Genomic DNA, 12908 nt, shown 5'->3' on the forward strand with positions numbered 1-12908 from the left:
CACATGCTTCAATGCAGATGAACTTTGAAGGTATTATGCTAAGTGAAATAACTCAGAACAAAAGGACAAATATTGTATGATTTCACTTATGTGAAGTACTATATGGAGAGCAGTCAAATTCACAGAGACAGAAAGCAGATTGATGGTTGCCAGGGGTTGGGGAGACAGGGTAATGGGGAATTGCTTAATGAGTACAGAGTTTCAGTTTTGTAAGATACAAAAAGTTCTGGACATTGACTGTACAAAATATGAATGCATTCAAAACCACTGAGCTGTACACTTAAAAATGATTAACATGGTAAATTTTATGTTATGTATTTGTTACCACAATTTTAAAAAAGTAATCAAGTGTCTAAGTGGTAGACATTCTTTATCTGATTCTACATAGTACTATTTATAATCATAGTAAAACATTTTGAAAACATGTCATGCAGCTAGACTAGATATGTCATTCAGCTTGTTCAGAAGGCAAACATCAACCTTCTGCTCTCTCACACTCTAGTTCACTGCTCCTACATCCTTTGGAGGTAGGGATGGAGGCCCTCATGCTTCACCCACAAATACTTTATTTTATTCTCTGAAAGGTAAATATACAAAGGTAAAAAGTAGAAGTGTAATTCTGCTTGAGTAGATCTACCCTAATAAACCTCTATTTGGAAAATTCTTTATATGGAAACATTTCACTTATAAAAGCAGAAATGAGAAACAATCTAAATGTTCTACAGTGAGAGAATGGCTAAACTACAGAGTAAATGGAATATTAGATAGTTGACAAAAATAAGTCATATGAATGAAAATGGAAAAGATGTTTTTATAATAGGTGATTTAACTATGTAAAAATACATTCTAAAAAGAGGGAATCAAATATCATATTAATACATAATTACCTTTGAGAAAAAGGAATAAAAATCCTTCCTTGTCTTTATACTTTCTATACTTTGCAAATATTCTCTATTTGTTTTTGTTTTTATAATACACTTCAGTTCTTATACTTTTGTTTTTATAATGTGTTTTTTAAAAACCATAATTTTTATAATGATACTTTTAAATCACATCCTTTATTTATTCAAACAAATAGGCAGAAAACAGAGAAGAATAAAAATTTAATTTTTTCTTCTTCCCAAGTACTTACATTCTCAGGTATGCTGGGAAGTTCTCTGGTATCAGGCACAGTAAAATAAGAATGCTAGAAAAGAAAAGCAAAAGTGATTTATTTCTGCTAAAATGTGTAACAATTGCATTACTCAGAATTCAGGTAAATGATTGGAAAATATTTCCTTACTCAGAAAAGGAAACGGTTTCACTCAGAAGAAACACCCATGGAATATTTTCTTTGGATAATGTCAGATTGAACCAGATGCATTAAATCATCACTTTGGTAGATGGAGTTCTTTTCTATGAGAGGAGAACTTCTTTAGGAGATATAAATGAAGAGTTCAGGCCAGGAGTGTTGGCTCACACCTGTAATCTCAGCATTTCGGGAGGCCAAGGCAGGTAGATCACATGAGGTCAGGAGTTCGAGACCAGCCTGGCCAACATGGTGAAACCCCGTTTATACTGAAAATACAAAAAAATTAGCCAGGTGTGGTGGCGGGCACCTGTAATCCCAGACACTCGGGAAGCTAAAGCAGGAGAATCGTTTGAACCCGGGAGGTGGAGGTTGCAGTGAGCTGAGATTGTGCCACTGCACTCCAGCCTGGGCGACAAGAATGAAACTCTGTCTCTAAATAAATACATAAATAGTTCAAAGAAGTTAAATGGCTAAACACATGAAAAAGGCGTTGGTTTCATAATTTATTGTTCAGTGAGGCAAGTGTATTCTAGGAACAAAATATCACCAGATTCACTCAGTGATTATTTTTACCAACCAAACCTGTCATCTCATTTCAGCATCTGAGATTATATTCATCTATAAAATGTGGCCAAAATCTGCCCCAAAGGCCTAAGTGATGTTAGGAAGAGTTCCAGTTGCTGGAGCACTGGAGCTGAGACCATTGCCGATGACTAAGAGTGGAGAAATTCTGCCCCCGAAGCCCACTCCACCATAAGCCTCCTGACTGGAGACTCAGCGGAGTTGAAAAATTGACCTCTTCAAAGAACGTCCAATGAGGCATCTCCATATGCAACAAGCATGCATCCCTGAATTAAATGACAACAGGCTGAACTGATGGCACCTCCTTTGCTGCTATTAAAGACTCAGAAGACAATGGCAAGCAGGAACGGAAAGAGCTTGGTGCCGGCCAATTAAAGATGGGATTGTGCAAAGGCCAGGAAAGGTCACATGCAGAGAAGGTCAGCGTAGCCATGGCCTAAGTTCAAATCTGGACCCCCAAGTGACATTTCAGGAAGTTATCCACCCCAACCCCCACTCTTGGGTGATTGCAAAATAGGTAGGTGTGTAGAAGAATGAGTTGTATAGGCTTTCTGAAATGAAAGGCCCTGGGGACAATCGTAATGATGATGGTGACAACAATAATAGTATAAGGTACTTGTCTAATAATCAACAGATATTTGTTGAATACCTGCTACATGAAAGGCATTATGTCTAGTACTCTGTAAATGTTATCTCTAATTCCCACAACAAATTTTGAGATAGATATTATCTCCATATTACAAATGGGTAAATTAATGCTCACAGAGGTCAAGTAGTCAGTCAAAGGTCACACAGCTAGTACGTGGCAGAATATGGACCAAAACTAAATCTGTGTAACTAGAGCTGTGCTCTTTCCACCATGACAGACTGTTATACCTGTGCTTTTTATGGCAAATGACAGCTAAAGGGGCTTGAACAAATAAAAAAGTAAAAAATAAAAAGTATAAAAAAGATAACTTAAAAAAGCCTTCTTCGATGCATTATTCCAAAATCTGTGTGTATATCAAAATACTACCTATGAAGTATTACAGTAGAGACGGTGTAGCGTGGGAACTAGTGATTAATTCAACAGTGAGGATTAAAACAGGAAAAGTAATATGCAAGGTTCCAGTATGACTCCATGAGATACCAACTTCTATACCAAAGGGCTAGAAGTTTAGTTGAGTAACAAATGGCCATGTGGTGATTATGTAGCTCAGCAAATTCACTTAATAGCACAGAACCTGTTTTTGAATCTATAAATGGGAATCATATTATCTACTTCAAAACTGTTATGAAGAATAAATGTTATATATATGAAATGCTTACCATTCAATAAATGGTATTTTAATACAAAATTATTATTGCTGTGAACTGCTAGTTCATATTACTATTTTTACCATCACTCATATCAGACACACAGAAATATACTCTTGCAGAGAGTGACTAGAGACAAAAAGTCCAGGATTACCATTTTATCAACATTTCAGGATGTATAACCTAGATGAGAGTAGCCCTTCACAATCAGAAATGCAATATGGAGAGAGGAATTCCCAGTGAAAAGGAAAGAAAAAAAAATCTGCCTTTACAGATGCAATTGATAGTAAATAGTGAGCCAACACAATTCCAAAACCAAGTAGTCCCCAGGCTGTCCTTTGAGATTCTGTCTTGCTCCATTGCCCATGAAATGCTGGGGACCAGGGGAGGTCAGAAACATTCCTAGAAACCACTGGCATGAAACAGCTGCGCCACCCCAGCAGTTCCTGCTGCCCCTGAGATGGCTTGTCCTTGAGGCCTGGCATGCATGCTGCCTGAGCAGCCATTTGAAGGAAGGAGTGGACCTTCCTCCCTAGCAGCTGGTGACCCAGCCAGGCTACTCCACAGCTACCTGTCGGATGTCATTACGGACTGAAGTGGTGAGATCAAGCTGCTTAGGAAAAAGGACAGAGACAAAGGCAGGGTTGCTTAGCTATACAGCAAGGACTGGGGCAGGTTTAAAGCTCATTTTTTCATCTTTTCCAGATGGTCTCCCCTGCCGTATGAGAATTTTTGTAACAAGGTTTCTTTCTTTCTTTCCTATGCTCTATTAAAATGGGCAAAAGTCTCTGTAAATTCATTTTTTCTTCCTTCCTTCCTTCTCTCCCTCTCCTTCCACACGAATGGCACAGTGGAAAGACCATAGGCTTGAAGTTAGCCCTGGCTTTGAAAACTCAAGTCTTATCTCTTATTAACTACACGACCTTGGAAGGGCAGGTATCTTTTCCTCTTGAAACCTCATCCATGAAATGGGAATGTTAATATCTATTTTGTAAACTTGTTTTGAATATTAGAGATACATATTTAGTATAAATTAGGAATTTATTAAAATAGTAGATCTATTATTAATTACTGGTAGTAACACTGCTTTCAATTTTATCATCATTTTGAAAAAACCTACAAGGAATATCAATTTTCTTTAGGAGGGGAGATACCTTTCTACCACTGAATACCAACACTGTACCTGGTTCTAATGAAGATGAAAGACAAAACTCTTAAAATTTTCAGGCCCCATGACATAAGGGAAATAGCTCCTGGATAATAATCAATACTTGGTCAAAGTATGTCCATCTGAGAATTCTGATGAAGGTGGTGACAAGGGCTTGAGGGTTTGACCTAGGGAATTAGAGAATTCCTGGAACCAAAATATGGAAAAGATCTCCCACACCTCTTCTGATGCCTTATCTGACAGATGAGGAAATTGAAGCCCACGAGGTTAAAGGTCCTGATTAAGATCACTCAGGTCATTGGCAAGACAATGACTAGGATGGAAATCTCCCAATTGGTATTTCAGAGCACAGTGCAGAACATGTAATAGCAGTATATATTTATAGGCATTCAAAGAAACTATTACTATAGGCCAGGAACAACATTAAGCACTCTCCTGCTCTGTCCTCAAGGGACACACAGTCCAGTGAGGGGGACAGGAAAAGGAATCATTCCAATAGGGTGTAACTAAGTACCACAAAGTGTGCAAGATGCTTCGAGCAAAGGAGGTAATCTTAGCAAAACCTACGAGGTATCAAGGGAGGATTTCTCTGGAAATAAAATCAGAGTTGAGTTCTGAAGGATGAATATGTGTTACCCTGGCAAACAGGGGAGAGGCAATGTTGAAAGCTGAGGGTACAGGATGGGCTTCAGCAAAGGGACATGTACAGCAGTGCTGGGGGACGAGGGTGATACAGGCAGGCTGGGACAGGGACTGAAGAAGCAGGCGGAGCCAGCTGTCCTATTTCAGCCCAGCATCTGTGATCCAAGAGATGCTGGTGATGGGATGATGGCCACAGAGGAGGGTGGGGACATTCAGGACATGTCTGTTTCTTATAGAATCTCAGAGAAAGGAAGAAATTCTACTCTCTGGCCTATCTTGAACTCAGAGGTCTCAGAGTATTTGGGGGTAGGGTTAGGGGAGGTATGGCTGACAAAATACAATCCTGTTCAGCTAGCTCCCTCTTACTGTCAATAATGAAATGCGTTTTCAGTGATGGCTAATACTCCGCCCCACTTACCACGCTGAGATGGACAGACACTCCTGGGTCAGGGATGGGAAGTTTGTGCAGAGTTTCAAGAAGCTCATTCCACTGATTTTCCTGAAAGAAATAAAAGGCCTAAGTAACAAAAGCAAGGCTGAGCCCTTAGTAAGATACCTGCAGGGAGGTCTGGGCACACATGACTGAGGGGGCTGGGGAGATGCTGGCCCCAGTACAGAAATAGGTTTGATATTCATGTAGGGTTTGACAAAAGACACCACGTATGCCTCAAACATAAAGAGCCAAATAGATCCTCCTACACCAAGTTTGACATTTTCTACTCAGTGAGACACCTACCATGACCGCCTTTTATGGATCATATACCATAAGCTCTCAGCAAATCTATCCCCTAAACTCCATAGCAACAACTTTTAAATGCAAACAATCCTAGCTTACAGGGCGGGGGTGGTTAGGAGAAATAACGATGACACTATAGATCTTGTCTTCATCATCATTACCCTCAATTAATTTTATTGAGTGTTCACCGGATACACATGGCAGCCTCCAATTATAGAAAGTTAGAAATGAACTAAGTACAACAGCATGCAATATAGGATGGTGGCTATGCATTCTAATTTGTGAAATTGAGCAACATGATGACATACAAAGCAATGCAAATTATTTGATTGAAAATGGATTCACCTCTAAAATGCTCAAAAGAACACTGCTCACAGAATTATCCAAATGCTATTTCTCCCACCATGTGGAATTCTTTGTGCTAATACTGATAAGTGTATATTTGTATCTATTCACCCTCTATTTGATCCTCCCAACTACCCACTTCAACAATGTGAAAACTGAGGCTCCAAAAGGTGAAGCAACTTGTCTCAAATCAGCCCTTTAGTAAGTTGCACAGCTAAAGGGTGAAATGCAAGCTCCAGAGCCCTCCTGGCTTCACTACAGCTGTCTTTAAGTAGTGAATTTAACGAAAGGAAAAAGAAGATGCACCCAGACTACAAGCTTGTTTCAATCTGAGCTCTGACAAATCAAACAAGCTTCTCAGAGAGGAGAGAGATGAACTTGTGGGTGTGTGTGCATGTGTTTGGTTTTGCTCTGAAACAATCTCAAACTTACTGAACAGTTGTAGAAATTGTTGAAAAAAAAAAGTTTTTATTATTTCCTGACCTATTTGAGAATGAGCTGCCAAGATTACGCCCCATCATCCACAGATACAAACAAGGACATTCTCCTAAATCACCACAATTAATTATTGCTGTGGTTTAAATGGTTCCCCCAAAAGTTCATGTGTTGACAATTTAAATATCATTGTAACAGTATTAAGAGGCAGGACCTTTAAGAGTGAGTACATCATGAATTAATGCCATTATTGTGAGAGTGGGCTTCTGATAAAGGATAAATTTGGCCCCTAACTTGTGTCTCTTGTCTTGAGTACCGCATGGTATGACCCAGCAAGAAGGTCCTCACCAGATGCCAGCACCAGGCTCTTGGACTTCCCAGCCTCCAGAACTGTGAGCCAAATACATCTTTTTTCTTTATAAATTACCCAGTCTGTGGTATTCTGTTATAGCAGCAGAAAACAAACTAAGAGAATCATAATAATCTGGAAATTAACACTGATGCAGAATTACCACCTTATCCTCAAGTTTTGCCAACTGTGCCAATAATATCCTTGGCAGCAAACAATCCACTTCAGAATCACATGTTGCAGTTAGTAGTTATAACCCTCTACTCATCCTCAGTCTGGAACAGCTCCTCAGTCTTTTCTAGATTTGTATGGCCTTGACGATGAGACCACCCATTTTGTAGAATAACTTTCAATTGTCTAATGTTTTGTCTAATGTCTGATGTCAATGTCCCTTCACTCATGATGTTTGCTTTCATCAATTGATTAATTCACTTGATATCTCTACAGTAACATTATTCTTTCTCTTTGCAGTAAATAACCATTTTGTGGATTCACACTTTGTGTAAATATCCCATTCCTCAAACTTTCAATGTATTCATTTACTTATTTATTTTACCATGGGTCCATAGTTTCCTGTTTTATTCAGTGTGACATAATCCTTTACTATCCTAATTTGTTTTGATGCTCAAATTGTTCCAGATATGACTAGAGGGAGCACTCTTACTGCTTTTGTGTCCTTCTGACATGTTCCCATCATGATCATGTTTTTAGCAATTCCTTACTTTTTGGCAGAAAAGATATTTCAGGTTCATCTTATACTTTCCCTGCCTCAGCCCCAGAATCAGGTTATTTCTTCAATGAGACTGGGTTCCTTTTAGTGGGCAATGGTATTTAGAAACCAAGATCTGGGCACCATGTGTGCTCACTGCTCCTTAGTATTGCTCATGCCAGGCCCTTTCAGTCAATTGAGCCAGGGAATATATAACACACACATGGAATCACAATAGGCACTTCACATCTCTATTTATTTCTATATTCATCTTCCCATATTGAAAACCATGGGTTCACACCAATGGCTCCTATTCCAATCCAATATAGAAATTATTCTAGTTTTCTCCCTCTACATATCTGTGACTTCATCCTACGAAAGTGAAAAACCTTGCCTGTATTTTCTTTTTATATTTGGTTATTTGTATGGAACCACTCTTCTATTGCCATCCCTGCCTCCTTCCCTGTCCAGATGCCCTCCCTTCCCTCCCCAACACTGACATCCAGGGCTGGGCCTCTACTGCCCAACCCCTCACACAAATGCCTTCCTTACCTCAGGATCCAACACACCAGCACTGGGCCACAGCTGCTGCCTCCCTTCTCACATGGATTCTTCTAGATCCTATTTGAGTTCTGACATCCCATGCTGAGCCTCTACCACCATGCTCCCACATAAACATCCTTCTCTCCCTCAGGCTCCGACACCCTGAGGCAGGCTGCTCCCTGGCTCAGATGCCTGCCTTGCCCTGCCATCCCTTCCACAAGGGTGCCCATTCAAGGTCTGATGAGCATGATGGGTCCATGGCCCAAACAGATATCCCAGTTACTCACACCTTGGTCTCCCACACCCCATGCTTAGCCATCACAATCTCTCTGTCTCTGTCTCTGTCTCTCTCTCACACACACACACACACACACACACACACACACACACACACACACACACACAATAGAAGCCTATCTTGCTTCCCAACCTTCCCAATGACTTTTGGATGAGAGAAGGTTTCAGCCCTGGGGCAGGAGGTAGATTCTATTTCTTTAAATAAAAAATCTCTTCCTGTTCTAATCTGGTGACTAAAACCTTGCAAACAATTAAGCCAATTACAGGCAGATTTCCTATCATCTGTGTCATAATTCTTTTAACCAAAGGGGGAAGAAAAGAGTCCTGGGTTCAAGAGAAACAGACTCCAACTAAAACATGTTACTGATCTCAGTCCGACATCCCAAGAGGCAGAGTCCTGCTGAAGCAATCGCCCAGAGGAAAGGTTCACCAGTTTTACACGGTAATAATCCAATCTCCCATATGTGTAGGTTGTACCTACCCTTTTATAATCTTTCCCAAATCACATGTTTTAAAAAGTGTACTAAGTTCTTTGTTTTGCTGAGTTTTTTTCTCTTTTTTTTTTTTTTTTGGACTGGAACATATGGAGGGAAAAAATGTGAGTCAATCTCCAATTCAAACCTGTTAAGAGCCTACATATTATACAATTCTGTTTATTAAAGACACCTTTCAAATTTGAGTGAAAACCTGAATGTTTGACTAAAGGTAACTGTGAATCAGAAATAGATGAACAGACCCAAGGTGACCTCCTAACTCATTCATCAAAGAGTAATCCACTTCTTTTACGACAGAATCCCCTGACATCTAAGCTTCTTTTCACAGTGAGTGTAGTGATCAAGGAAGCCGTTTCTATTAGTTATTCCTTCCATTTACTGTGACCTCTGGAATACATTTGCCAGTGAGTAAATCTATCTCTAAAAAAATGATTTAGTCATTATACACACAATTTCCCCCTTTCCTCCAAAACAGCATTTCCCAAAGTGTGTTCCAGGAAACACTGCTATCTCAGAATGCTAAGATTTATCACAGAATTAAAGGGGTTTGGGGCAAAACAAGATGGGAAGCACAGGCGACCCAGGTTTCTCCAATGCAAGACTTCGTAGAGCTTACATTAAATGAATCTTAAGGAGATGAAAATGAAACACAGCTTTCCCTTCCCTGGACCCCAGTGTGGCTGAACTGGCACCCTTTTCATGGACCATTTCTCAGAACTAACACTCAAATTGCTCAGAACGTTCAACAGAAAAAAATTAAGGGAAATTTTTCCTTAACGTTTAATAATAATGGATCACTTTAATTAAAAATCTTAGGCCATTTACAAAAAGAAAAATATAAGACATTAGATATATAGACAAATATCCAACTCATTAATAATCAAAGAAATGCAATTAAAACAATGAGACTTTTTTACTTGTCAAACAACAAATTCAACAAATGATCCTGATGAGAGTATCGTGACCCAGGCACTCTCTTACATTGCTGGTAAAGGGTATCCTTTAAGAAAACAGCAGAATTATTTTGGAAAGCAGTTTGACAAATGTTTTAAAAATGTTTATGTCCACTGATCTTACAGTGGCCCATCTGGGATTCTCCTTTTAAGGAAACAATCCAAAATGAAGAAAATGCTTTACCCTCATAGATGCGAATGGTTACACTTCTCATAACAGTAGAAAAATCCCAAACAATTAACAATTTCCAATAATAGGAAAATGCTTTGGTAAATCAAGGTACATGACAAAATGCTATGCAGCCATGAAAAATATTTATAACATTTTTAATAGTGTGGGAGGCATGCTCATTATAATGGTATCTGAAAATGTGGGCTACAAAAATCTACATAAAGGTCCAACTGGCCTTTGACATCCATGGAAGATACCTTACCTTACCACTTCTTCCAAAAGTACAGCAAGGTACAGATGAATTTTTAACGTCATTTTCAGACCCCTACAAAAGTTACTGTAAAAGCACCACAAAGCTTTATTGAAATGGGAACTCAGGACAGCTGGGTAGGTCACTTGCTGGTTAAGTGTTTTACTTGCAAACCCCAGATCTGCAGCATGACATGAGCAATTCAGATATGTGCCTCAGCAAAATTATAATTTAATACATGTCACAAACTTTCCGGGCTGCTTGGGAATATTAGAAATTGAACATTAACTCTGTGAACGTTAAGGGTCTATTTATCATTTCTTTAATGCAAAGAAAAACTTAAAAAAGAAAACAACCCAAAATGCTAGGAATATTTATTTTAGGGAAGGGAGTGGGGCAAATTAAAAGTGATTTTCTTTTCCTTCCTATTATTTTCTGAATTTCCCAAAATTCCTATAATGGGCATGCATCACTTTTTTGGTAAAATATAAGGCATGTTTTACTTTTTCATCATAAAAATTAAAGCTTATTTGTTTAAAAGAATTATTTTAAAAAGGTAAATACCTGTCTTTTTGTCGTGTAATCTGCCAGGATGTTAAGCAGCTTATAAAATACCTCGAACCAGGGGAGATAGCTGGAGGAAGAAGAGGAAACACATGAAATATTAGTATGCAGGTCAAAAACTTTAACCAGGATCTAATTCAAGACTGATACATTTCAGTTTTGCTCTACATCCTGAAGAGTCTTCCTGTCACAGACTGGTGGAAACACAAACTGGCGAAATGCTAATTATTTCTGAGAGTTTAAAAAATTGCCTGTGCAAGGCAGAGGATTAAATGTCCATTATAAATTATTCCCATGCCTCAGAGCTAGAACAGTTCACAGAGAAGAAATTCAAAGCCGACTCCACAATCAGGCACCATCTCTGAGAAGTCCCCTGGCCTCTCCCAGCACACCCACCCTTTCCAGGAAAGCTTCTATTCAGTTTCTCATGATGGGACAGACACAGACACAGACACACACACTGACACACACACAGCATTCCCACTGCAGGCATCTGCAAAGGGTCCCAATGCCCCCATGAGCCCAAAGCCATCCATGTTGCTGCAACAGACATTCTACCCATCACACACCATCTCTCTATCTACTTCAAGATGAGTTCCACTTCCCCATCCCCACTGCCCTCCACCAGGTCCTGGCCATTGCTCCCCTTCACTCAGAGCAGACTGGCTGCTGACCTCAGTCCTGTGGTCCACTCTGTGTGGCTTGTTTTTTGTTTGTTTGTTTGTTTGTTTTGAGATGGAGTCTCACTCTGTCACCCAGGCCGGAGTGCAGTGGCATGATCTCGGCTCACTGCAACCCCTGCCTCCCTGGTTCAAGTGATTCTCCTGCCTCAGCCTTCTGAGTAGCTGGGACTACAGGTGTGCGCCACCATGCCTGGCTAATTTTTGTATTTTTAATAGAGACGGGGTTTCACCATACTGGCCAGGCTGGTCTCGAACTCCTGAACTCAGGTTATCTGCCTGCCTCGGCCTCCCAAACTGCTGGGATTATAGGCGTGAGCCACCTGGCCACGGCTCTTAGAATGGTTTTTCTAAAATGCAAATCTCCATCGCACATTGTACTTAATTGCTGCAATGATGTCCGTCACTCCAGGATCCAGTCCACATTTGTTAGGATGGACTTCTGGGGCTCTTCACTGCCAGGCCCTTGCCCACTTTTCTGGTTGTCCTCTGTCTACTTCCTCATAGATATGCTCCCCTCACTCCTCTCACTCCGGAACGTCCTGGTATCTTTGAGCCTGCCTGGGCTTACATACACTGGGCCCTTTTCTCCCAGACCTCTGTGGGTCTAGTCTAGCTGATTTCTACTCATCCTCCTAACTGTCCCTCACCCCCTCCCCATCCCCACTTCATGTGCCCTAATTCTCTCTTTTCTGTGCTGCCCTGGTCATGAGAATGCTGCTCTCAGAACATTCCCCACATGATGCAGTCCTCAATGGCATGTCTGTTTTCTCAACAGACCACATGCAAACAGAGAGGAAGGGGCCTATCTTTCTTCACTTTGTCTTTCCGGTGCCAAGAATGGCACCTGGCACACCGTCAGTGCTCAGCGTTTACTGAGCAAATAAAGCCAGACAAAGACTGACGGCAAGGGTGCACGCATCCTATGGAATTGTTGAAAAGTATCCACACCCCCAAGCAGTTTTGCCACTTACTTTCAACGGCTTTGTTCTCTAGAAGGAAATTTTCCAAAGCTACATCTAACAGCAAGCGAGAAGAAGGTTGTACCAAGCGCTTGCCGGCCTGGTCATGTCTGCCCTGCTGTGCTAACAGAGTCCAATACCGACAGATATGGACACGAGGTAGCGCACAGATGTGATATCCTGCCAGGGAGAGGGGAATCAGCACCCTGTACAGATTACCGGCTGCGCCACTGAGGGTAATAAATGAAGTGAGAGGCAACAAAGAGAACAGATAAAGTGCACAGTCCTCTGTCATTAACGTCTGTCTAAAGCCAGCACATGCTACTGTAAAATTTAAGTAGCTTATCAAAATATACTGATAAGCAACTTAACTTTTCACTTCTATGACAGTATTATCACTTATGTTAATATGTTTCAATCAGCCCTGGCAGCTGCATATT

General features: G+C 40.4%; 1 protein-coding gene across 41 annotated transcripts in view; it reads right to left on the reverse strand.

The window, feature by feature from the left end:
* DENND1A (DENN domain containing 1A) overlaps positions 1–12908 on the reverse strand; it is a 550469-nt gene that overhangs the window by 286236 nt on the left and 251325 nt on the right. For all 41 annotated transcript variants that reach the window (XR_007061334.1, XR_007061335.1, NR_148208.2 and 38 more), the window contains 3 exons: positions 10827–10896; positions 5398–5478; positions 1133–1186 (listed from right to left, as the gene is read on the reverse strand). Coding sequence is in view for 38 of the 41 variants with exons in the window: in NM_001352965.2 (NP_001339894.1) it covers positions 1133–1186; positions 5398–5478; positions 10827–10896 (205 nt within the window). In the remaining 3 variants the exon portion in view is untranslated. The remainder of the gene's footprint in view (positions 1–1132; positions 1187–5397; positions 5479–10826; positions 10897–12908) is intronic.

This window comes from Homo sapiens, chromosome 9 (genome assembly GCF_000001405.40).
Source record: "Homo sapiens chromosome 9, GRCh38.p14 Primary Assembly".
In the NCBI taxonomy this organism is placed as follows: domain Eukaryota; kingdom Metazoa; phylum Chordata; class Mammalia; order Primates; family Hominidae; genus Homo; species Homo sapiens.